This window comes from Homo sapiens, chromosome 3, assembly GCF_000001405.40.
Source record: "Homo sapiens chromosome 3, GRCh38.p14 Primary Assembly".
Classification (NCBI taxonomy): Eukaryota; Metazoa; Chordata; class Mammalia; order Primates; family Hominidae; genus Homo; species Homo sapiens.
In genome coordinates this window covers 83,389,840-83,417,581 of record NC_000003.12, presented here as the reverse complement: position 1 = coordinate 83,417,581, position 27,742 = coordinate 83,389,840, and the positions used below count along the sequence as shown (strand labels likewise).

The 27,742-nt window shown below is 35.1% G+C and overlaps 2 long non-coding RNA genes across 3 annotated transcripts in view; one reads left to right on the top strand and one right to left on the bottom strand.

Moving 5' to 3' along the window:
• The window catches only part of LOC105377183 (uncharacterized), a 39,119-nt gene extending 34,080 nt beyond the window's left edge, over positions 1–5,039 (bottom strand). For both annotated transcript variants that reach the window (XR_941006.1, XR_941005.1), the window contains exon 1: positions 4,990–5,039. This is a non-coding gene — a long non-coding RNA (uncharacterized LOC105377183). The remainder of the gene's footprint in view (positions 1–4,989) is intronic.
• Positions 5,040–13,244: 8,205 nt separating this feature from the next.
• LOC105377181 (uncharacterized) lies at positions 13,245–25,919 on the top strand. The gene is made up of 3 exons (XR_941003.3): positions 13,245–13,330; positions 13,983–14,127; positions 25,819–25,919. It is a non-coding gene; the product is annotated as an uncharacterized LOC105377181 (long non-coding RNA).
• Positions 25,920–27,742: the final 1,823 nt, after the last annotated feature.

Sequence of the window (27,742 nt, the reverse complement as noted above, 5' to 3'; positions counted from 1 at the left end):
TCTTTCTGGGTAGCAAAAGGCAACCTTCTCACTTTGTTCTCATGTGGCCCTTCCTCCAGCGTGTGTGAGTGAGAAGAGAGGGAGTGAGCAAGCTCTTTACTGTCTCTTTCTGTAAGTAAACTAACCCTGTAGGATGAGGGCTCCACCCTTATGACCTCATGTAACATTCATTACTTCCTTTGAGGCCCCATCTCCAAATACAGTCACACTGGGGTTAGGATTTCAACATGAGAATTTTGGAGGGACATAAACATTTAGCCTGTAACATTACTTGAATGAATAAACCCAAATAATAAACCAAATGAGTGTATAAATATATCAACAAATAAGTAAAATAAAAAGACATGATCATTAATTTGAATGTTTCAGACCAGCTATTCCTAAGTGTGGACCTTAAATAATTGTTGATCTGACTTCTTCAATAAATTAGAGATTTTTATTAAAATACAGATTCCCATTCATATTCAATCAAAACTTCTAGGGAGCTGACTAGAAATGTATTTTATGTCTAAGCTTTCCAGATGATTCCTTAGAAAACTGTTTTATAAACATCAGTTTAAAATAAAAAATAATATTCATTGATTATCTCTTCTCAGTCACATTACAGAAAAGAATTTAAGGCCAAATTTGGCCCTAATCTGGGAGTATGATGGATGGTCAGCAGCACCGAACGTGGGCATAGAAAGTTACAGTGACAGCAGCTATGGCATATGTGGGGCATTCTTGTTACAAGTTAAAAGAAGGAGATGGATAAGATTAATATCTGAAATATGTCTCTCTAATTAAAAATGATTTGTCCTTTAAGTTTACTTAAAAGTAAATAAAAAGTTTGAAATCTATTGTGAACATTTATAACAAAAGCTAAACCAAATAGTCTACAAATGTCAAATGTACCTAAAGTTTTATTATACATAAGAGGGAAAAGGTCAAGAATATAATAAAGGTTAAATGACAATGACGGGAGATATGTTTAAAATAATACAAAAACTATAAAAATTAATTTATTTAATATTTAGATTTTTTAATAGAAAACAGGAAGAAATGTAACTTTATGGCAAAGTCATAACTCCTAGATTTAATAAATATTGGCAAAATGCAGTTACACCTGTTTTAAAATTAATTTTTAAAAGTACAATTACATTGGGTGGCATAATTTGTCTTAGAAAAGACAACTACAAAAGGGATTAAGGTTTAAAAGTACATGGAAGGTATTACAGAGAACATTAAACCATTGCTTTATCATAACTAAAGTTATGACATAACCAGGTGATCCATTAAAGGAGAAATCTGAATGCTCATTGTATACATACTGCTTTTAGAAGTGATAAAAAGGAAGACACGATATGGCTTCTGACTTAAAATATGTTCATGTTATGTTAGGATAATCCAGCAGAAATAAACTAGATATAGGTAGTATGGTTAAGGCTGAGAGAAAATGATTTCACGAAAACAGTTAAAGTAGAACAAGAATTGAAGTGATTTTTAAAGAGTGGAATTTTACTGAAGCAAGTGACTCTTCAGCCAAACTAATCTTCCTATTTTTTATTAAAGTATTATAATTCTCTTTTATATGACTAGTGTTAAATATTAAGAAAGAACAATGTAAATAAGTCTGATAAAGATACTTCAGGATTATCAGAATGAGGACCAGGTGTGGAAGTTAATATTCTGCCATTAAGACAGCAGCTTGGTCCAGTGGTTTACAATTTTCAAATTCATTGCTTTGTTCATTATTTACACAAGCCCATCGGCAGCTTGCCAATCATAATATATGCATAAAGAAAAAAGCCATATCATTAGCTGTGGGTGACCTGTTTTGGCTGAAAATCTCTCCTCAATATATCAAAAATGCTTATTTTGAAGCAAATATTTTGATAAAATTTTTGTTGGGATGAATATAGCTATCTCTATTAAACTTATCTCCATATAAAATGTACCCATGTATTCTTTCTAAAATTGTTACTTTGTTGTTATAAAGGCATTGGTTGACTTGGAGCCTGTACATTACTTTTTACTGAATGTTTGCTAATATATAGAAAAAAAATACTTGCGGTAGGCATCAAGATGGAGAATAATGGTGCTGAGTTCAGTAACTTACAGTCGACTATATTTTCCCATTTTATTTTGTGTGCATTTGAATTGCATATGTACTATATTTTATAGTTGATTTTAGCACAAGACCCAGATGTTCTTCACACATCTGTTTACGTACCTTTATATAAATGAACTTTAAAATGACACTGGCAACTCCAGGGACCGCACTAGTCTCAATAAAAAGTACATATTTTTGTCTTGTCTACATGGGGATCATCTACGTATAAGTAGATGTCGAGTAACTAGTCATTTTTCATGTGTTCTTGCAATGCTGTTATTTACATACTCCTGATTTGTTATGCCTGACCATCTGGTTATGGATGAAATACTGCAGTTACTTTTTTTTATTTCTTTTGCCTTTGTTTAGAAGGGCTTTCTAAGTATTATCAATACCAAATGTTCTGTGATTATTTATGCTAATAACCTAAAATTTATTATTTATTCCAGATTGTTGCAGAATACATTTCTAAATTTACATACCATTAAATGTTTAAGTGACTTTGTAAAAGGGTAGAATTAAATATAATATTTTAGCTGTTTTTATAGATGTTACATGACACACATTAATTCTTAATAACTGTATGAAATTGTAGATCCACATCACCTCTTTTTTTACCAGTAAAGTTGCAGCCTGGTAGTTAAGTGCTTACGCAGACTAGTCAGAGTATTTTGAGATAAGAATGATTATTGAATTTATTGACTGTGAATTTGGTCAAGGTACACAGTATAAATATCTCTGCATTTCAATTTATCTGTAAAGTGGGCTAATTGTAGCATCAATTGATATAGTTGTTGTGTGAGTAACATTAGATAATCCATTTAAAGAATTTAGCATACCATTAAGCATGTAATAAGTACTGTATTAAGGACTGTCATTTGGTATTAATATGATCAAATTAACATTAATTCACATATTATACATGAATTTGAAGAAGTTGACAATATCACTGCTTACTCTAACTATTTTGTGAATTTTAATATTGGAGATAAGCTATTAATACATATTTTCCATTTTTAAACAATGTTCATGGGTTCTGCACTCAGTAGCAATCCAACCTCATTTGCATGTGAGGCCAAGAAATAACTGGAACATCTCGTAAGGTTGCATGATTTTAGAGTATTTTAAATTGAGGTGGTTCTCTATTAGGAAAAGCAGGAAGTTTGAGGTTTGGTCTGAGGGCAGAGAAATAAAAATGTGTTCCTCATTACATTGTATAGTGGCATTACATTTACATGACAAATCCCTATTTAAAATATTTGCTGGTGAGAAGTCTGAAGCTAAAAAGGCAGCATGGATGTGGAGAGGTCCTGAGGATATTGGGTTAGCCTGAGATATAGGCAATAAAGTGCTTGCCCAGAGAATTCCACAGCTTGAATGAAATTAGAAGTGACAGATAGAAAATTTCTAAACTGATGGAAGAAAAAGTTTTATCATTGTCAATGAAGAACTCCAATTCCCAATTCTCCATTTTAAGTTTAATGGTGGGTACTGGGTATACAGTGAAGGATTAGATGACCATCTCAATCAATGGGGAATTATCTGAGAGAAGGGGAAAACATTATTCTCCAAGGGCTCTGGTTTCTAAGGGATTATTTAAGATTTTTTTTTTCATTTAAGTGCAAGATAATTGTTGTTCCTATGTCCTGGCTTTTTATATTATCTACGAACATTTGGAGACAAATAGGGAAGGGTTTGTGGTTGGCAAGAAAAATGGGTGGACTTTGAGGTACTCTCAGAGTCATAAGTTTGTTTTTTTAAAGACTCGCTTTGCAAGGTGAGTGTGGAATTTAAGTCCTCTTTCTTCCTGCAAGCTCTTTCCAAATAATTGAGTAGCAACTTTAATAATAGCACTGAAAGATTGCTTTCAATGAAAAATAATTAATATACTGAAGTGGCATATTTTGGCATGGCAATTTCTAAACTCCTTCGATATCTTTTAAATTTACAGATAGTTGCTTTATTTATGACAGGATAATTGATATATATTTAGCCAGTAAAAATGATCATACATTTTTCTATACAGGCATTATACAGAATTAATTCCTGCTTCTAACTAGTATGATTTTCAATAATTAAAATTTTTATTAACAAATTTTAATAGAGTCTAATTTAATATTATTCTGTTTAAATGTTATTGAAATTATTGGAAATGAAAAAAATGGAAAAATAAAAAACCCATTCTTGAGAAATTTCATAATATAAACATTATGGATTTCTAAAATATATATTTTGAATTAAGCTTAGTTATGTTTTAAATTTATCTAGTTTATATTGGTGGTTTTCATTTATATATTTTTTCAATTTTGAGATAAAAAGATATCTTTGAGAGATTACTGTAAGTAATTGTAATTGGTGGCTGCTAATGAGGACTCTGGCAGGTTGAAAAGCAATGGGTGCCAGTGGGCTTTCTGGTGTTGTCTCTTCTCTGGCATTTGAAAGGAGAATTAAACCACTTTAGATGAGACTGTATTACAAAACCCGAGACAAGATGCTTTGGGCAAAGTGTTGAGAAGACAGGAAAAAGGAGACAACTTTCTGCTAATGAGGATCTGGAGGCTATTGCAACTCATTAGTAAAAATTAAAAGACACATGTGACAATATTTTTTACTTAAAACTAAACGTTTGAGTTATTCTGGTTGTAATTCTACTGCACAATGCTGTTTGCTCACTAGAGAGTATATGACATCAGGTGGGTTCTTCCTAACTTGTTTTCACAACACTGTTGCATTAATTTAGAATACAAATTACAATAAAAAGAAGACAAATAAAATTAATTAAAATTAAAGTACAATTAACTGATTATTATCTATTTTTGCTGATTTCACTTTGGTGCTTAAGCCTTGGTATGTTTATTTCCAATGATAATATAATTTTAAAAAGTTTAAAAAGTTACCTGAAAAGGATGCTGTTAGTGGATTTCTTCTTGAAGAATAATAATCATTTCTGTTTACAAAAGGAGAAAAGCGGTTGAAATAATAATTTGTCAGACAATACTAGACAATATCAGCCCTTTTGCTTCTTCTATCCTTAATATCTTGTTTGACCAACAGTATTTAAAGTTTTCTATCTTTGAGTTTCTACTTCTCTCAAACCAATAGTAGACTTGTTTTCATTCTCCCTATATTCATAAACAGTTTTCCTTCTCTTTTTTATTTTATATTTTTAGGTCCTAAAGATTGTCTTGTTACAATGTTCAACAGCAGTGAGGCTCTTTTGCATTCATCTTTGCCTTTGTGTCATTGTGAAGGTCAAAATCTGTCAGTCTGCAGCACATGTACTCTTAATAAGGCTGTCTTTCTTGTACTTCCTCACCCTCAGGCACAGCATATAATTCCTCATGAGTGTCTTCTGTCACAAAGAAATACTCGGACTCAAAAATACTTGAAATGAGGGGTTTGGTGGCTTAGTAGATAAAACCTTTGATCCTTTACCTCAGAGAACATGGCTTAAATTCAAACTTTCAATGTAAGTGAAAAGAGATTTATAGAGTAACTAATATCACCTGTTCAGAATGTTCTAGAGTAAGGCACAAAATATGTGTAACAAAAATCATCTCAAGACTAAATTTGCTCAAAACCCCACTCATCTCCAAAGTATAGGGCTTTGGAATTTGAAATTAGGATTGCTATTTAATTCTGAGTTATTTGTTATCAATTCTCCTTTTATAATTGAGTGTATTTGCTTTTGAGCTCTTGTTAAGTTCCTCAGCATCCCAGGAAACTATGAGATCCTTAACTAAAATCAAGGCTTCCCTCCATTTTGAAAACAAAACCAGCATTTCAATGACCAGTATTTGTCAATTATGTCATTCTTAGAACACTCTCCTTTATCCAAGATCAGGAGAAGGCATATGTTTCTCACAGGAACTAGATGTATGCCTACACATAATGTAAAATTGTCCTGTGAGAGAAGATCATCTAATTATTTTTTTTGTTTGTTTGGTGGTACCTGGGTTTTCTTAACTTCCTCTTAGGCTACGTAAGTATGAGATGAAAAATAATTATATTAAAATACTATGCATAGTACAACTTATTCAGCAAAGTGTGAGAGAACCTATGTGTTAGCATCTGAAGATTATGAAAATAATACAGCAAAGATGACATTTGCATATGCAGTCTGCAGTGGATTTTTGAAAATAGGTCAAACTTCTTTTTACAGGACAGTGATAACAAAGAAGCCTGGAGTAATATGGAAAGAGAGATTAAAATGTGCTTGTATCAGCAGCAAATATTAAACGTTTTTTTCCTTTGTGACTATATTAAATGCTATTATAGTAACATTATATGTTAACTATAAACAAAATAAATATATTCTATTACAGAATAATGGGTATAAAATTTTGTGTGACATATAATTCTGTAAGTAATTGTGAAAATACCAAGGTTCTACATAACTTAAAGTCACAATGAGATTTAAAAAAATATTGTCTGGAAATGTATTACATAAATCCTCCTATTTCAGTATCAAAAGATGTAAGCCATAACCATAGAGATGGAAAATGTTTTTTGCGTACCTTTTTAAGGAGATAATATTATATTAATTAGAAAGTTATGTGTAGTTAGAAACTGAAAATGCAGTGAATGGGGTAAATAAAGAAATTATAAATAGCTGTGAATGGACAATTTGGCAAGCAACTAATGGTTTTAGTGGTCAATAAATTAATAATATTGAAAAAATATGTTTCAATTCATAAGAACAGATTATTTGAAAAACTCATTCAGGTTAATTGAAGGTTATATAACACAGACCATTTCAAATCTTCCCCAAATAACAATTCTTATATTCAGTTCTATATCAAGCTAACTAAAGTACCTCTTTTATTGTGCTTCACTTTGTTGTGCTTTGCAGATAGTACATTTTTTCACAAACTGAGGATTTGCATAAACCATGCATGAAGTAAGTCTATTGGCACCATTTTTCCAGTAACATGTCCTCACTTAGTGCCTTTGTGTCATGTTTTGGTAATTCTCACAATCTTTCAAACTTTTCATTATTATTATATCTGTTACAGCGATCTTTGATCAGTGATCTTAAATGTTACTATTGCAATTGCTCTGGGAAGCCATCAACCTGACCCATATAAGATGGTGAACTTATTCAATAAATGTTGTGTGTATTCTGACTGCTCCACTGTTGGCCATTCACCCATCTCTCTTGCTCTCATCAGTCCTCCCTATTCCCTGAGACACAGCAATGTTGAAATTAGACCAATGAATATCACTACAATTGCCTCAAAGTGTTCAAGTGAAATGAAGAGTTGCACATCTCCCAAATTAAATCAAAGCTATAAATAATTAAGCTTAGTACGGAAGGCATGTCAAAAGCCAAGATGAACTGAAAATTAGGTCTCTTGCATCAAACAGACAAGTTGTAAATACAAAGGAAAAGTTATTGAAGGAAATTAAAAGTACTACTCAGTGAAAACATGAATGATATGAAAGTATCAAATATTAAACAAAAACATTTAGTTTAATCTCATTGTGGCTTTAAGCTATGTAGAACCTTTATACAAAACAGATTTTTATTCATGTGGAGAAAATTTTACTGGTCTGAATAGAAGATCAAACCAACTACAACGTTCCCTTAAGCCAAGTCAACTACAGAGCAAGTCCCTAACTCTCTTCAATTCTGTGAAGGCTGAGAGGTGAGAATATTGCAGAAGAATGGTTAGAAGCTAACAGAAGTTGGTCCATGAGGTTTAAGGAAAGAAACCTCCATTACATAAAAGTGCAAGGTGAAGGAGCGAGTGCTGGTGTAGAATCTTCAACAAATTATTGAGAAGGTCGAGCTGAGATTACTATTGAAGCTCTTTCCACTAAACAACAGATTTTCAATGGAGATTAAACAGCTTAATATTGGAAGTAGATGCCATCTAGAGCTTTCATAGTTAAAGAGGAAAAGTCAATGCCTGGCTTCAAAGCTACAAAGAACAGGTTGACTCTCTTATTAGAGCTAATGAAGCTTGTCATATTAAGTTAAAGCTAAATGCTCAGTTGTGAAAATCTTAGGGTCCTTAAGAATTTATGATAAATCTACTCGCCTATGGGACAACACAGCCTGGATGACAGCGCATCTGTTACGTAATGGTTTACTGAATGTTAAGCCTACTTTTTAGATCCAATTTTCAGAAAAGCAAAGGTTCCTTTCAAAATATTACTGCTCACTGAGAATGCACATGATCACAAAAGAACTCTGGTGGAGATGTACAGAGAGATTAATATTGTCTTTACATATCTAAGGCAAGAAGCTGGGGCAAAAAATAATATAGAGAGTTTATAAAGGCCAAGGTTGAGGACAGTTACCTGGACATACTTTCAGGTTGCCTTGGAGAGTGCTCCATTTGTCTTTCCTTACAACCAGGTTTTTAAAGGCAAAAGAGGCCAGGCATGGCGAATCATGCCTGTAATCTCAGCACTTTGGAAGGTCAGCGTGAGGGGATTACTTGAGCCCAGATGTTTGAGACCAGCCTGGGTGTGATGAGACTCCATCTCTACAAAATTTTAAAAATTAGCTGGGTGTGGAGGTGCATGCCTGTAGTCCAAACTATTTGGGAGGCTGAGGCAGGAAGTTCATTTGAAACCAGGAGTCTGAGGCTATAGTGAGCCGCATTCATGCCACTCCAGACTGGGAAACAAGGCAAAACTCTGTCCCCCAAACAATAAATAAATAAAATATAACTAAAGGTAAAAGAAGAAATACTGAGTAGACTGATATAAATTTGTCAGGGATTCTCATTGGTTTACAGAAATAACATTGATTCATGATTGGCCATACATTGTTGAGCTGTAAAGAGTGGGTTACAGTATCTGGCATGTGGCATTCTTAGCTTAATTTGTAGCTACTTCGAGCATTAACAAGCAATTTCAAGAGATAAGCAGTTTCAATATGGGAAGTAGGACATGGTTGCTGTCTGCTTTTAATGCCTCTTTGGGCCTTAAAATGTAAAAGTCAAACATTCCTCAGATAAAAAGTATTTATACATTTTTTCATTCTCATTTTTATGCCTTCTAACATTCTGCAGCCCATGGCTCAAGGAGTAATTTCAACTTTCAAGTTCTGTTATTTAACAAATACATTTTTTTAAGGATGTAGCTGCCATAGATAGTGATTCCTCTGATGGGAAACTAAATTGAAAACCTTCTGGAACAGATTGACCATTCTAGATGACATTAAGGACATTCATGATTCATGGGAGGAGGTCAAAATATCAACGTAAACAAGAATTTGAAAGAAGTTGATTTCACCTCTCATGGATGACCTTGAGAGGTTCAAGATTTCAGTAGAAGAGGTAACGAAGATGTGGTGGAAATAGCAAAAGAGCTAGAATTAGAAGTGAAATGTGAATATGTGACTGAATTGCTTCAATCTCCTAATAAAGTTTTAATGGATGAGGAATTGCTTTTTGTGGATGACCAAAGAAAGTGGTTTCTTGAGATGGAATATACTCCTGGTGAAGATGCTAGAAACATTGTTGCAATGACAACACAAGATTTAGAATATAACATAAACTTAGTTGATAAGAGAGCAGTAGGGTTTAAGAGGATTGACCCCAATCTCAGAATATGGGTAAAATGCCATCAAACAGCATCACATGCTACTGAGAAATCTTTCATGAAAGAAAGAGTCAATTGAAGCAACAAATTTCATCGTTGTCGTATTGTCAGAAATTGCAACAGACACCCCAGCCTTCAGCAAATATCACCTTGATCAGTCAGCAACTGTCAACATAGAGGCAAGACCATCCACCACCAAAAAGATTATGACTTGGTGAAGGCGAAGATGAACATTAGCGTTTTTGGCAATGAAGTATTTTTAATTAAAGTATGTACATTGTTTTTGTACACATAATGCTATTGCAAACTTAATAGACTACAATGTAATGTCAACCTAACATATATGCATTGGAAAACCAAAAAATTTGTGTGATTTTCTTTATTACTATGTTAGTTGTATTGTGGTAGTCTGGAACCAAACCTGCAATACCTCTGAGATATGCCTGTTAGGGTTTTCCAAAGAAATGGAATCAATAATAAAGATATATATATATATACACACACACATATATATACACACACACACACAAGTGTATACATAGTATTATAGCCTATTAAGATATATAATATATATTATGTATTCTATTCTATAATTTAATTTACATACCCCATAATATTATGATATCATTTGTATATGTACTTATGTATAGTTGCACACATATAATTTATTATAAAGAGATGGATTACCCACATAATTCCTTAGTCTAAGAAATCCCCAGATATGCAGTCAGCAAATGGGAGCCCCAAGAGAATCAGTGGTGCAATTGCAGTCTGAATACAAAGACCTGAGGACAAGAGTGGATGGTGTAAGTTCCACTTAAGGGCAGAACACTGCTTTCCCAGATTAGAGAGTCAGGTAGGAAGAGTTCTCTCTTACCCTTTTTGTTCTATTCAGCTTTTCAACTGATGGCATAAGGTCCACCTACATTAGGGAGGACAATCTTCTACCAATTCAAATGTTAATCTCATCTAGAAACATCCTCATAACACAACTAGAATATTTGATGAAAAGTCAAGTTCACAGCAAAAATTAACCACCACAGGAATTTGAAATAAAATGTTTCCCTTACAATTTTGGTTGGGTAATTACAAACTTATTTTCACTACAGAAATGATAATTAGCTTTTCTCAGGTTCAATATCCTATTTCTCACATTGTCTATTTTTTTCCACAATTTAAGTTCAAAGTTCATTTAAATACTTTACTTTTTTATTATTTGGGAAATATTAATGCATATAACCCTTCTCTTTATATGTACAAATACTAAGTAACATCTTTTTTTTTTTTATTTTTTTTTTTATTTATTTATTTTTTTTTAGACAGCGTTTCACTCTTGTTGCCCAGGCTAGAGTACAATGGTGCAAACTTGGCTCAGCGCAACCTCTACCTCCCGGGTTCAAGGGATTCTCCTGCCTCAGCCTCCCAAGTAGCTGGGATTACAGGCCTGTGCCACCATGCCTAATTTTGTATTTTTGGTAGAGACAGGGTTTCTCCATTTTGATCAGGCTGGTCTTGAACTCCTGACCTCAGGTGATCCGTCCGCCTCAGCCTCTCAAAATGCTGGGATTACAAGCATGAGCCACCCGGCCACTAAGTAATACCTTAACTTTTTACAATATTTATTAAAAAAACCCCACGCAACCCAAATCAGTTATTCCAAATAGAAAAACAGATTATAAAATAGTTCTATAAAAGTGTCAATATATTTTCAACACCTAATTCTTTTTCTGACATTCCTTTTTATGTATATAATTATTTTTGATATGTTATAATTTTGTGGTGAAAAAACCTATCAGTCAGGATTTCAGAAGATATTATTCTATTCTTAGCACTCAAATGAATATTTGATTATGTGTAAGTAATCTGGTTTCAATTTGTATCCCCAGTCAAATCTCATGTCCAGTTGTAATGCTCAGTGTTGGAGGAGGGGCCTGGTGGGAGGTGATTGGATCATGGAGGTGAATTTCTCTGTATTGGTGTTTTCTTTATACTATCAGTCTAAATTACAAATTTTGATTCTTCCCTGAATGTTTACTACTAGATTTTCTCATGGCTGTTTTGATGGATTCCAAGATGCACTGCACAGGTCTTCCTTCCAGGATCAAGACACTTCTTCACCCAATTACTAAAAGTGTGCTTGCTGCTAACTACTGTCGAGAATCCTGAAAAGTGTGAAATTATACTCTATTTTCAAGCTAGCAAGTTAGCCTGCCACAATTTCATAATTGCTAATAGAAGGCATAAGATTCCTGGTTCAGACACAAAGGATACATTATTACTCATTGTAACAGCAGGAATCAAAATATCAACAGCAACTTTTAAAGTGTGACATAAAGCAGTACAGATAATGTATGTACATATATTGGGTTGCATCACATAAAAGGACTCAACAATTGAATCTTTTATAATAGGCATTAGCATGCTTGTTCTTGGCTCTAGCTGGAAGTATTCTCTTTACTATACTGGGCAGTAAGTATATTTGCTCTTTGCTCCAGAGGGAGATACAATCTCTATCTTCCAAGAATGTTTACTATAGTAACATCCTTGGAAAGATAGTCCAAAAAAAAAATAAAAATTAGTGTCTCACTCACAAGACTCACGGAAACATTGGAGACTTGTAGAAGTTTATCTTACACATTGAAGAAAATAGCGTCTCACTTAACCTTGCATTCCTAACCAGGGCAGACTGTGTCCAAAGGGCAATATATGTGGAATTCAAAGACCCATACCTGACTCTCTTACTGTAATCGAAACAACTCAGCAAAGCTCCCTGTAGAATTTTCTGAGGCCTCCATTTTTAGTGTATTCAGTTAAATTTTTGCCTCTGCCTAATCCTAATCCCCTCACTATCTTACATTTTTATTTTCTCAGAGAGAACTCCAGCCAATAACTTCCTGCATGTAAATCTCCATTTCAAACAGTTTATTGTCTAGAACAGCTCCTCAGTTTGCCGCCCATGTTTTATTCCAGCACACAGGTCTTGCTCCTGGAATTTTAATGGGATCTTTGGGGTATCAATTTTCTGGCCAGAAACTTCTGTGGCTACAGTGCCTTTGCACAGTTCTTGTCCTGCACCCAGGAAGAATGAAGTAAGCAGACAAGTGAAGGGAGAACAAGATGAAGATGAGGTTTATTGAGTGTTACAACAACTCAGAGAAGTCCCATAGTGCTTCTCTCTGTAGATCATCCATCAAGTATTCATTTCTCAGCAGAGAGGAGGCCCTGGAGAGAGTAGCTCCTCTTTGCAACTGGTTGTCCCAACCTCTCAGCGGAAAGGAGGCCCTGAGAGGGTGGCTTCTCTCTGCCAGCAGGTGGTCTTTGCAGCTCTCAGCAGAGAGGATAGCTCCTCTCTGCAACTGGTTGTTCCGTCATCTCCAGCTATTAGTAGAAGCAGTAGCTCCTCTCTGCAGCTGGTACTCCTGTCTTCTCTCTGCCTTCTTCATCCTCTGGCCATCCTCTGCTCTGCTCTGCCTAAGCCCAGCGTTTTATGAACCTCAAGGGGAGGAAGTGCACGTTGATTGGTCCATGGGCGGCCATGGGTGGGCCCAGAGCCCCCAGCCTTCAGGCTCTCCCTGACCTGAAGGTGAGGCTTCCTGGGAACCTGCCTACTTCCGCCCAGGAATCTGTTTTCCTCTAGCTGCCATTCATGGCCCCGGGGCTCAGCCTCTATCCTGCTTTGAGGTTGGAGCAGGTTCCTGGAGGGGAGAGAGGCCAGGCAGGGAGAGCAGACATCCTCAAGCCGGACTGGGGGCCTTCCCCGACCCTGAGAGTGAAGGCTGCAGAGACGCCCGGGTCCTGCACCTGGTAGGGCAGCCGCAGCTGCACCTGGGGTGCTCCTGCCCTGTCAGCTTGGAAGGGACGGGTGTCCAGTTTGTCCCTGGCTCCTTCCTGCTCCGTGGAGTGAGAGGCCCCCGTCTGCAGCTGCACCCTAGAGGCAATATCCTGCCTGCTCTTAGCCACCCTGAAGAGCACAGGGAGGCTCAGATCCACAGCAGCAGTTTGGGCCGGGCTCCTGCCTTCTCCTTAGAGCTGGAGGCCCAGGTCTGCAGACAGGAGAGGCAGCTGCAGCTGCACCTGGGAGGGCAGACCCTGCCTGCTCCTGGCGCCCTACCAAGAGCTTAGGGAGGCTCCCATCCACAGCCACAGTTTGGGCAACTGCAGCCCCACCCAGGAGGGTGGGGCTCCTGCCTGCTCCATAGAGTAGGACACCTGGGTCGGTATCCATGGTTTGGATGGCTGCAGAGGCATCTAGGGAGCTCCTGCCCCAACTTAGAAGCGGTGGGGCTTCCACTGGCTCCACGGAGTGTGCAGCCCCAACCCTGTCTCCCTGCAGCAGTCAGCGCGATGGCAGCAGCCACTGACATCAGAATCTTAGCTGGGAAAGTAGATGAGCACTCGGCTTGCCCAGAATGGATATTTGAACGTGAATTACCTTTGATGAGAAGCTGTTTCATCTCTTCTCAAGCCTGTAATTTAAAGTAAGTAGATTATTGTGGTTATTCCACCAACACCAATTCTTCCCTTTAACAAACATTTAATCTTCATAGTTGAGTATTTTTTGCACATGAATTATGAGATTCTGTAATTTAAGTGCATTTCAATTTTTAGAGAAAGAAGTTCAATAGATGTTTTATTACTCTGAGGATTTTTTTAAATTTTTTTTTTCAAAATATTGGTTATTTTAACTCTGAAGCATTTTTCTAGGAAAGTCATAATTATAGTTATGTAATAACCCTGATGCATAGATGATTAACTTCTGTGGAATTTACTTGTATACTTGAATAATCCATTTTCTAAGATTTTATTGCAAATAACTATTTAAATAATTATTAAAGATGCAGTACGTGTAGGTATATATGTATGGAATTTTGTGTAAAAATTTAATAATTTAATAATTAAATGCTTAAAAACGTTTAACTCAAGCTCATCTTAGTTGTAAACTGCTTCTGACTCTTCTTCAAACTTACAATGGTAAATAGGACATTTATAGTTTTAAGTTGATTTTGAGTGATGGAAAAGTTGTGCATATAAAAACTGAAGGTTTTATTTCAGTAGAGTAGCTACAGGAAAAGATATAATGAGATAAAGTGTAGAACTTTTCTAACTTTACACAATCAAATTTATAGCATGTCATGTTTATCAGGTAAGAGAATATTGTAATCACCATATTCCAGTGAAATCACACCCTGTTCTTCATCATTAGAGAAAAACCTAGGGAGTACAAAAAAGTTACTAGTAAGACTGTCTATATTTAATGACTTTACAGATAGTACTGGACACATTTCTAAGTTAAAAATGTTTTTGCTCATGTTGCAGAATATAACTGTGACCATGGTAATAGTCGCTTTAGAAAGTGATTTTAAAAAAGAAAGATAAAAGAGAAAGTAATCCTCCACCAAATAAAATTTAAATTAGGTGGAATCTTGCACTGATTGTTTAAAACATTTACAAATAAGAATACTTTCCTAAAATTAGACTTAACAGAATTTGAACATTTTGAAGTCAGTTTCATCAAATATGTGATAATTTTTACACTTGGTATTCAGAAGCATGTTATTGATTTAATCCATGTAAAGTTATCTGCAAATGTAGGAGAAGCTTTACTATGAAATGATTTTCAGATAAAATTCTTTCTCACATGGCTAAACTCCTAAAATTTTTGAGTAGAATTTTTTTAGTCATTTTACTTAACAGAAAATATTGTTTCATCCCCCAGAAAATTTCAAGTGATGTACTGAGGAGATGCCACAATAAGATAAAACTTTACTGTAACTTGATAAGTAAGGAACAGAGTATCCATTCACTTAAATTGCAGGATGACTTTACTTTCAGGTTATTGAAAATAATTGGGGAAAACTTTCTAAGCTAGCCAGTCATGAGTGGCGGCGTTCAGCTATTACATTCAAATTAGGCCTGCAGTTTATGCACCCTGATGGTCCACTGAATGGAGTTTTATTGCCATTGGTGGTTTCAAGGATAATAGATACCAGGTCAAACTTCCTCTAGTCAACTTGGTGATACCCCTAAGCTTATATTGTTTATTTTTTTCTTGAGTCTTTAGGAAGCATGGACATTTGTACATTGTGCAATATGAATGAATCAAAGACAATAAAATCCAGGAATAGTAACACAAAATATTTTAGAGAATTTCTTTGTGTCATTTAATAAAAAAATTTGCATGCATGTATAATAATGAAGAGTTAACCAAAATAATTGTATCTATTGGCTTTATTTTCATTTTTTGTTAAATACAAATCACTTAGTCTTTAATGTCTCAGTCCCCACTTCATTATGGCCCATCAACTACTCTTAGATTAACTCATTTCTCTTGTTTGGTATTATTCTACTGAAAAATTTATTTAAAAATCCTTAGCACTTTATGTTGCTATGTTATGTATTGAGTTATATTTTTGAAGCTTTATTTTAAGATACTTATGAGCGAAATTATATTTCCCAATTATTAGGTGTGATGTAAGTGCTGAGTATCATATGTGGAATATAACAGATGATCTGTTAATATTTGTTGGATTGTTTATTTATGTTTTGACTTAAATATGTATCCTGCATATCTTTGTTCGTTGTTTGACTATTTGACTTTTTTTGTAGCTCTTTTATATATATATGTATATATGTGTATATATGTACGTATGTGTATATATGTATATGTGTATATATGTGTATATATGTGTGTATATATGTATATATATGTGTATATATATGTATATATATATTTTTATTATACTTTAAGTTCTAGGGTACATGTGCACAACGTTCAGGTTTGTTACATATGTATACATGTGCCATGTAGGTGTGCTGCACTCATTAACTCGTCATTTAACATTAAGTATATCTCCTAATGCTATCCCTCACCCCTCCTCCCACCCCACAACAGGCCCCGGTGTGTGATGTTCCCCTTCCTGTGTCCAGGTGTTCTCATTATTCAATTCCCACGTATGAGTGAGAACATGCGGTGTTTGGTTTTTTGTCCTTGTGATAGTTTGCTGAGAATGATGGTTTCCAGCTTCATCCATGTCCCTACAAAGGACATGAACTCATCATATTTTATGGCTGCATAGTATTCCATGGTGTATATGTGCCACATTTTCTTAATCCAGTCTATCATGAGATACCATCTCACACCAGTTAGAATGGCAATCATTAAAAAGTCAGGAAACAACAGGTGCTGGAGAGGATGTGGAGAAATAGGAACCCTTTAACACTGTTGGTGGGACTGTAGACTAGTTCAACCATTGTGGAAGACAGTGTGGCAATTCCTCAGGGATCTAGAACTAGAAATACCATTAGACCCAGCCATCCCATTACTGGGTATGTATCCAAAGGATTATAAATCATGTTGCTATAAAGACACATGCACACGTATGTTTATTGTGGCACTATTCACAATAGCAAAGACTTGGAACCAACCCAAATGTCCAACAACGATAGACTGGATTTTGTTGCTCTTAATTTTCTTCTTATTCTCTCCCAGCTTAATAAAGTATAATAGACAAAATTATATATATTAATGATGTACATGATATTTTGACATATGTATACATTGTGAAATGATTATTAAAATTAAACTAATTAACATGTCAGCAATCTCATATAGCTGTCATTTTCTATATATCTTTCTAAAGTAGATAACCACTAAGATCTAAATAAGTTTCAAATTTACTACTGTGAGGTTAAAAATCTTATTTTAAAAGCTCAGTGAATTTAACATTTTTATAATATATAATTATTATAATAAAACTTTGAAAGTTTTGGTGTCATTTCAGAATATTAAGCACTAAAATGCTTACCTGACAAAAATATGTTTTAAAATAATAAATCAATGGATTTTTATGTATTTGAGTATATATGAAGTTAAATTAAAAATTATCCTACTGTTGGTGTCTCAATGATTTGTACTAAAATTAGAATTTAAGACAAATATGTTCCATGTGCAAAAAGGTGAAAAGTTAGCTATCAATGGTACCAATGTAATCTAAATCATAAAGTTACTTCAAATTAATTTATTTTTGGAAATTAACATTTCAAAAATAATATTTTTACCTTGTACCATGATGTATACAAAAGGAAGTACCTAATACCCCTAAAGTAAATACTTGAAGAGTTGTAAAGTGAAAATGTTACATGTTAAGTTAGGCAATGTACTCCTGTGATAAATACTGAACTATTTAAGAATATAATTATATAATGCAAGATATTACAACAGAACAGGAAAAAATCAGGATTTTTAAGTAAAAATAATATTCTGTTGAGAAAGAAATAGAAATACAGAAATTTTTTTTTCAAAATGTGAAGTTTTATCTTTTGTAAAAATTATCTCCTTCACAAGGAATAGAATGCTCATCTTGAGTTGGATTAATTTTTCTTTTTCCCATATACTCAGTAGTGGGATAGTTAGATTGAATGGTAGATCTACTTTTCATTCTTTAAGAAATCTCAGCTGAGCATGGTGGCTCAAGCCTGTAATCCAAGCATTTTGGGAGGCCAAGATTGATGTATTGCTTGAGCCCAGGAGTTCTAGACCAGCCTGGACAACATGGGAAACCACATCTCTAAAAATAAACAAACAAAAAAACAAACAAATTAGCTGGGTGTGGTGGCATGTGTCTCTAGCCCCAGCTACTTGGGAGACTGAGGCAGGAGGAATACTTGACCCCAGGAGGTCGAGGCTACAGTGAGCTGTAATCACCACTGCACTCCAGCCTGGGCAATGGAACAAGACTCTGTTTCAGAAAAAATAATTTTTAAAAAGTCTCTACAATGTTTTCCATACAGGTTGTACTAACTGACATTACCACCAGCAGTATACAAGCGATCTCATTTCACCACATCCATGCCAACAACTATTCTTTTTTGGCTTTTTGATAATGGTCATTCTTGCAAGAGTAAAATGATATCTTTTTGTGGTTTAAATTTGTATTTCCCCAGTGATTAGTGATGTTGAACATTTTTTCATATATTTGTTGGCCATTTGCATACCTTTTGAGAAGCGTCAGTTCATATCATTGACCACCTTTAGATAAGATTATTAATTGTTTTGCAATTTGTTTGAGTTTCTTGTAGATTCTAGATATTAGTTCTTTGTTAGATGCATAGTTTGTGAATATTTTCTCCCATTTTGTGGGCTGTATGTTTACTCAGATGATTGTTACTTTTACTATACTAGTTAAATTAGGTCCTATTTATTTATTTATTTTTCTATTTGTTGCATTTGCTTCTGGGTTCTTAGTCATGAATTCTTTGCCTAGCCCAGTATCCAGAAGAGTTTTCTTTGGTTATCTTCTAGAATTTTAACAGTTTCCTGTCTTAGATTTAAGTATTTGATCCATCTTGAGTTGATTTTTGTATACGGTTAGAGACAAGGATCTGGTTTAATTCTTCTACATGTGACTAGCCAATTTTCCCAGCATCGTTTATTAAATAGGGTGTCATTTCCCCAATTTATGTTTGTGTATGCTTTATCAAAGGTCAGTTGGTTTTAAGTATTTGGCTTTATTTCGGGGTTCTCTATTCTGTTCCATTTGTCTATGTCCCTGCTTTCATACCAGTACCATGCTGTTTGGATAACTATATCTTTCTACTGTAATTTGAAGTCAAGTAATGTGATGCCTCCAGATTTGTTCTTTTTTCAGAATTGCTTTGGCTATTCAGGCTCTCTTTTGTTTCTATACGAATTTTAGAATTGTTTTTGCTATTTGTGAAAAGTGATATTGGTATCTTGAAAGGAATTGCATTGAATCTGTAAATTGCTATGGGCAGTACAATCATTTTCATAATATTAATTTTTCCAATTAATGAGCATAAGATGTGTTTCCACTGGCTTGTGTCATCTGTGATTTCTTTCAGCAGTGTTTTGCAGTTCTCCTTGTAGACATCTTTAACCTCCTGGGTTAAGTATACTTCCAGGTTCTTTTTTGTTTTTTGTTTTTTTTTTTAACTCGCAGCTGTTGTAAAATGGATTGAGCTCTTAATTTGATTATCAGCCTGGTCACTGTTAGTGCATAGCCATGCTACTGATTTGTGCACATTGATTTTGTAATCTGAGGCTTTACTGAATTTGTTCATCAAATCTAGGGGTCTTCTGAAGGAATCTTTAGGGTTTTCTAGCTATAAAATCACATCATGGGTAAATAGTGATAATTTGACTTCCCATTTGGATGCTCATTATTTCTTTCTGTTGCCTGATTGCTGTGGATAGGATTTCCAGTACTATATTGACTATAAGTGGTGAAAGTGGGCATCCTTGTCTTGTTCCATTTCTCAAGGGGAATGCTTTGAACTTTTCCCCATTCAGTAATATGGGGAAAATTTGGCTTTGGGTTTGTCATATATGGCTTTTATTATTTTGAGGTAAGTCCTTTCTATTCCTAGTTTATTGAGTGTTTTTATCATAAATGGATGCAGGATTTTATTGAATGTTTTTCTGCATCTATTGAGGTGTTCCTGTGGATTTTGTTTTAAATTCTGTTTATGTGATATAACACATTTATTGATTTGCACATGTTAAGCCATCCCTGCTGTCCTTGGATAAAACCCACTTGATCATGATATATTACCTTTTTGAGCTGCTGCTGGAATTTTGTTGAGGAATTTTGCATCTATGTTCATCAGGCATATTGGTCTGTAGTTTTTTTGTTGTTATGATGTCGTTTCCTGGTTTTGGTATAAGGGTGATACTGGCTTTATAAATTGAGTTGGGAAGGATTCCCTTTTTCTGAATCTTCTCAAATAGTTTCAGTTAGGAGCAGCACAAATTCTTCTTTTAATCTCTGGTAGAATTCACCTCTGAATCCATCTGGCCCTAGGATTTTTGTTTTCCTTGGCAATTTTTAAATTACTGATTCAATCTCACTGCATGTTATTCATCTGTTCACAGTTTCTATTTATTTCTGACTTCATCCAGGAGGGTTGCATGTTTGCAGGAATTTATCCATTTCCCCTAGATTTTCTAGTTTGCATGCATAGAGGTGTTCATAGTAGTCTCAAATAATCTTTTGCATTTCTGTACCATAAACTGTAATGTCTCTAGTTTCATTTATAATTGAATTTATTTGAATCTTCTCTTCTTTTCTTGGTTAATCTAGCTAATTGTCTAACAATTTTGTCTGTCTTTTCAAAAAACCAAGTTTTGTTTCATTGCTTTTTCTACTTTTTTGTTTCAATTTATTTCTGCTCTTTGTTATTTATTTCCTTCTGCTAGCTTCAGGTTTAGTTTGTTCTTGTTTCTCAAGTTTCTTCAGGTGTGACATTAAGTTGTAAATTTGTGATAGCTTGTATCTCTATTGTTATTCATTTCAATGAATTTTTAAATTTTGATCCTGAATTTATCATTAACCCAAAAATCATTCAGGAGCAAGTGGCTTAATTTCCATGTATTTCTATAGGTTTGAGGGTTCCTTTTGTAGTTTATTCTCGTTTCATTCCACTGTGGTCTGAGAAGATACTTGATATGATTTTGATAATTTTAAATTTATTGAGACTTGTATTGTGGCCTTTCGTATGGTCTATCTTGGAGAATGTTCCATTTGCTGATGAGAAGGATGTATATTCTGTAGTTCTTGGGTAGAATGTTCTGAAAATACCTGTTAGGTCCATTTGTTCTAGATTATAGTTCTGGTTTCCATTTACCTGGCATATCTTTCTCCACCCCTTTATTTTGAGTTTATATAAATCCTAGCATGTTAGGTGAGTCTCTTGAAGATAGCAGATATTTGGCTCGTGATTTTTTTTTTAATCCATTCTGCCAATCTGTATCTTTTAACTGGAGCATTTAGGCCATTCATATTCAGCATTAATACTGAGATTTAGGAACTGTTCCAGTCATTATGTTAGTTATTACCCAGATACTTTGATTTCTTCACTGTGTTTTTATTTTTTAGGCCCTGTGAGTTTTATGCCTTCAAGAGAGTCTATATTGGTGAATACTCTTTACTTCAGGATTTAGAACTCTCTTTAGCATTTCCTGTAGGGCTGTTCTAGTAGTAATAAATTCCCTCAGCATTTGTTTGTTAAAAATGACTCTATTTTTCCTTCATGTCTTATTGGCTAAGAGTTATTCTGTTTATGGAGGCTAAAGATAGGAACCTAGCCTCTTCTGACTTGCAGGGTTTTTTGGTAACAAGTCTGCTGTTAGTCTGATAGGTTTTCCTTTATAGATTACCTGGTGCTTTTGTCTCACTCTTCTCAGTATTCTTTTTTTCTCATTGACTTTGGATACACTGATGACTATAATCCTTGCTAAAGTATTTTTTTATGATTAATCTCCCGGGAGTACTTTGAGCTTCTTATATTTGTATATGTAAATGTCTAGCAAGGCCAGAGAAGTTTTCCTTAATTATTCCCTCAAATAAGTTTTCAAAACTTTTTGCTTTTTCTTCTCCCTCAGGAACATCAATTATTCTTAGGTTTGGCCACTTTACATAATCCTTTATTTCTTGGAGACTTTGTTTGTTTCTTTTTATTCTTTATTTTTGTCTAATTGGGTTGATTCAAAAGCTTTGTCTTTGAGCTCAGAAATTCTTTCTTTTACTTTTTCTACTCTATTGTTAAAACTTTTCATGGCATTTTGTAATTTCCTAAATATGTCTTTCATTTAAGAAGTTCTTAGTGGCTTTTCTTTAAATATTTATGTCTTACAAAAATTTTTTCATTCATATCCAGAATTGTTTTTTAAATTTATTTATTTGGTTTTCACCTTTCTCTGGTATCTCATTTGGTAGCTTAATAGTCAACATTTTGAATTTTTATCTGGTATTTCGAATGTTTTATCTTGATTTGAATCCATTGCTGGAGGATTAATCTGATCTTTTGGGGGTGTTATAGAATCTTGTTTTGTCATATTATGAAAATTATTTTTCTAATTTCTTCTCGTTTGGTAGACTATTTCTTCTAATTATTATTGAATTTATTTTTTATTTGACTTCTTTTTAAAAATTTCTTCTTCCCCCCATTAAATATGTGACTTTAATGTTTATAGTTTATGGTAGCCTAATTCAGCTCTTGGTGCTTTCAAGGATGAAGTCTTCATATGAGGTCATTGGTTATAGAGAGTCATTGTATGATGACTTTCTCAGATACTGGTTGTAGTAGCAATGTGCTTGGTGTGTCAGAGAGTTTACTATCTCCTATGGGGTTGGAATGGCAGAGGTCTACTGAAGCTTACCTCATTCTCCCATGTTGGGCAATTTATTTATTTATTTATTTATTTATTTAGTCTTTTATTGACTGAGTTGAATATTTCAGACTTCAGGCCCGCAGGGACAATGTCCTGGGGTAGAAACCAGTTATGGCTAAAATAGGTAGGTAAATGCAATACCCATTGGTGGGCAGAGGCCACAGCCTTGACAAAGCAGAGGTTGCTGGAAGCTTTCAGTGAAACACACTGAGGTCTTATCAGGGGAAGAGTAAAAGCCACCTCTGCTCCTCTGTCAGGCTAGCAGAAAGATGATTTACCTCCCAGATGGCATTCTTGTCACAGTGTTCTGGCTATTCAGATCACAGAGACACTTTTTTTTCTTTTTTCACCTGCAGGAATGTTGATCTTCCAAGTAGACAGGAATTATGTTTACCCTGAAGTATTTCAGAAAGGCTGTCTATAGGTGCACCCACACTGAGCTTCCATGGGAGAGGCCCCAGCTGTTTTTGCAGTGGTGGATGAGGGGGAAAGGAATACCCTTCTCCAAGACCCTTGATGAGCACCACGTCTGCCTCTCTGTTGAGATAAAGCTGCAGACTTTATTTATTTATTTAATCCAGCACTGCAACTGTGCCTCTGCTGAAAGAAACTTCCCACCAGTGGGATGTTCCCTTGATGTGGTACACTCCCTCTTCCCCTGGAAGTACTAGTTCCTGAAAACCAGACTACTGTGAATGCTGTTGCTCCTCTGGGTTCAGCTGCAGGCTGATGCTGGGGAATGTCTGTAAGGGAGCCAGTAATGTGACTTGTCCTCAAGGCTCCCAGAAGTATGTACCATCTCCTGCTCTGATGGGGGTGGCAAAAGAGTAACACTGACTATGTGAGATAGTGTTATAAATAGCCTTAGCATGTTAGGGTTCTCAAATTTCCAGTTGCAGTAGTAATGAATTGGTCATGTGGACAGACTTAGGACCTCCTGGTTAGCCAGGATGGTGCAGGCAATGGTCGCACATAAGTTTTCTCCCTTCTAGGCACACTGTTATACTACTTGTAGATTCCACAATGGACTCTTGTCAGTTGGCCCACAGCCAGGAGGTGGCACTTGCAAAAGAGTGCCAGCTGCAGTAGTAGTGGTGGGATTTGTGTTTGCCTTATGTTACCCAGGGTAGTTACTGTTTTCTCAGACAATGGGCCATGCCACAGTGTTTTCAAAATTTCTGTCCATTGTGTTAAGCTACCAGCATGCGTGAAAGCGAAAAGCCAGGTGGGGTTGGGTCAGGCAGGTCCAAAGTCTGTCTTTCCACAAGCAGGACAAACAGAGGCTCCTGTAGGAGTCACAGGGTGTTTCTCTGGCCACTGTGATAATGTTCCAGGGAGGACTGTAGCTGCCTCCGCTGCACAGAAGAATTCATGCAGGGAGTGGGGAGTAGCAGGTGACAGTAAGTAAGCCTCACCCAACTTTCATAGACTTGGCAAAGCAGGTCTCTCATCTGGAGTGTTCACTAGCAAGAGTTAGCTAAATTCCAGGCAGTCTACAGTCAGAACCCAAAACTGCCCCAGGCCATAAGCATTTCTCATGGTGACAGGAACCCCAGCTTTTAGGCTGTGACCCTCCTTGCTTACCCACACAGTGAGGTGTACAGCTCCTCTGCTCATGGCTGCAGCACACTTGCCACATGCTCCCCAGGTCTGGACAAGGGAGTTCATCCTCACTTGAGATTACATTGTGCATTTTAGTTGTGAGCTTTTCTCAATGTTCAACCACTGCCTGAGTTTCTAACAGCCTTCCACAAGGTTCCCTGGGACGCAGACCAGGAATGGCTTCCCTCAGTCCATGCTGGAGACTGGTGATGCATGCAGTGCTCCTCCTGCTGTTGTCCCTAGTTTTATATTCCCCACTACTCCCTATTTCAGCATTGAGTTCCAACATTGAGAAGGGTTAAGGCCTTCCCCTGTGGGCTGGATTCCCAGGCTCTCCCATGGGGGCTCATATCCTGGAGGCAGTCTCTCCCCTTCTTGCACTCTGGAGACTTACAGTTTTTCTCCTGGCTCACAGTGTAGGATGCAGCCTGTCATTTCTTTCAAAGGTTCTGTGATTTCTTTCAGTTTTCCTATTAAGTTCCTGCATTGCTTCTTGGAAAAAAAGTTTACAGTATGAATCTCTACTCACTATTTTGTCTTTCCAAGTGGGAGAGACATGCTAACACTGCCTCCAACACCATCTTAGAAAAAAGAAGACTGATATTAAAAATTGTAATTGTATAAGTTTGCAGTCTACTAATACAAAACATAATAATAAAGTTTAATTCAGCAATTTTAAATTTTTCTGTATGTTGACACTTTTTTTTACACATGTGAATGAGAAAGATATATTGTTTTGCAGTTAATGGATTTAGATAATTACAACCCAGTGGAATAAAATTTTAGTTATCTTTAACTAGACTTACACAATTTTAATTATTTTTCTCTCTATATTATAGTTCTGTTTTTTCATGTTCCATATTGAGGTAGAGATAAATTTTTTTATCTGTAAAACGGTTTATTGTTTATGACATTTCTTCCTTTTTCCTTTTAAATTCTCTGTTACAACAGGGCAAGTGTATTTTTAAAATGGCATTTCTCAGATCCTCTGAAGCTAAAAGTAACCTAAGTGAGGTATTGGTAATGAGAAGCACTTGCACGAATTATAAAAAGTAGAGGTGATAAGAGGGCTTCTTCCCATGGCCGCGAAGAGTGGCAAGCAAGCTCCGAGGATATAGTTTTTTTGTGGTTGTCAGACTTCACATTCCAGGACTTGGTTCAGATTCATGGCTTTTAGGCAGCTGCAGTGAGAGAAATGGTAGTAGTAGTAATGACAGGGGCTTTCTGACCTTTGAATTTAGGTATGGTAGATTTATCTTGAAACTTATAATAGTCACACATTAGCCCACAGATTTCAACTCCTTCTATCCTATTAATCATGTTGTAGAAATCTTACTATCTACATTAAATAATTAAGACTGATTTCTGTTTATTTTAGGATCCTGGGCTGTTGGAAACATCAAGTATGGCATCAATTTCTTCATTTATACCTAAGATATAGCCTCCTGATGAAAGAATAAAACTTTCAATTAACTGGCAGAATTGAATTTAAACTTTTTTCAACCAATATTTATTTCCACTTTATGTTGAAATAATTAATTCTTAGTACTGTAATCAATTTATCTGTCCTGAGGAAGACTCTCAAACGAATATTGCATTGGGAAACTTGATTATGTAATTAGTATTGTAAAGAATACTAAAGCTAAAATATCAAATCTTTTTTTACTGATTATATATTCAGTTAAGTATCACTAAAACGTATCTCTCCCTCTCTAGGCTTCAAGTTCTTCATATGCAAACATGATACTTAATAGTTATTACTCATAGTCATAGTTAATTCTAGGATTCCATACACTGACTACCTTCTAGCTGGGAAATATAAGGCTAGACCAGCTTAAAGTCAAAGAGATTACACATTCATCTAACAGTTGAACAATGAAAGGAGACATTTCTCTTATGTTTATTTTACGTCTACCAAGCACTGCCCCTGAACCATTACAATGTAGATGAACTATCATAAAATTTGTTATAGAACACTGCTGTATCATAATCAAATGATGAAATCAGCATTAATTAAACAATGGCTTTAAAGATGTTTAACAACTGAAAACATTATATAATGATAATGGCATTCTGATAAGGACAAAATCAAAATATGTAAAATTGATGAAAAAAAGAAATATTCAGAAGATTAGATTGTTAGTGGTATACTATGAAAAAGGAGGGTTAACATTTAGAAGATTTACTGAGTACAGATTGAAAATTACTGGCTTAATTAAGAAATCATACACATAGCCATCTATAGGTCTGGATTACAGTGTAAGCTGTAGCATTTAATTGGCTGTTTAACTTTGGGAATATTAGCCCTTCTGAATCTAAATTTCTTCATGTAAAAAGTAATACTGTTAAAATGATCTTGAAGGTGTTTAGTGAAGTCACATTTTAAAAAGTATATTGGCATATTCTACAACCAATAAAGTAAAATTAAAATGATGTGATTTTATGTACATTGTGATAGATTATTTAAGACTACTCAACTAGGCTTTACTGTTATCACAATTTCTATTCTGAGGTCTTTTCTAAATAGTATCCTCTCATTTTTACCAGTTTGTCTATAACTATTAATGCCATAGTTGTATTGCATTTAGTTGCATTAGTATGGGAGAGGTTAAAAATAGCTATGGTCTTAACCTGCCACATTGGAATTGGAAAGAAAAGGGCAAAGAAATCTTAACCTCAGAATTATGTAGGAGTAGGCAATAGCTGAGAAAAGAGCAAATATGCAAAGAGAAGGTCCAGAAATGCTTGCTGTTAGGAGACAGAGAGAATAGAATTAAAAATGTGGTTAAAATCAGTGGAAAATGAAAGGAATTGTGTTAATTTTTGATTGTTGCATGACAAATTGCCATAAAATTAGTGGCTTAAAACAACACATATTTATTGTCTCACAGTTACTTCAGGTCAAGAGTTGGGTATGGATTAGCTTAGTTCTTTGCTTTAGCATCACTTCAGGCTGTAGTAAATTTGTCAGGCAGGCTGCATTCTCATCTATGGGCTTGACAGAAGGAGAATCCACTTCCACATTCATTCATATTGCTAAAAAAAAATTCAGTGTTTTGTTGGCTGTTGGTCAGAAGTGGTCCTTATTGTCTGGAGACAGCCTACATTCCTGACACACAGTGTCCACCATAAGCAGTTCACAGCACAGCAGCTTGTTTCTCCAGGACTAGCGGGGAAGCAAGAAAGACTCAAGAAAGTCTGCGTAAAATTTAATTTACCTTAACCTTCATATTGTTATATAACATATTTTAATTTTGTTATGTCATGAGTTATTTTTTCCAAATATGGCCAGGTATAATAAA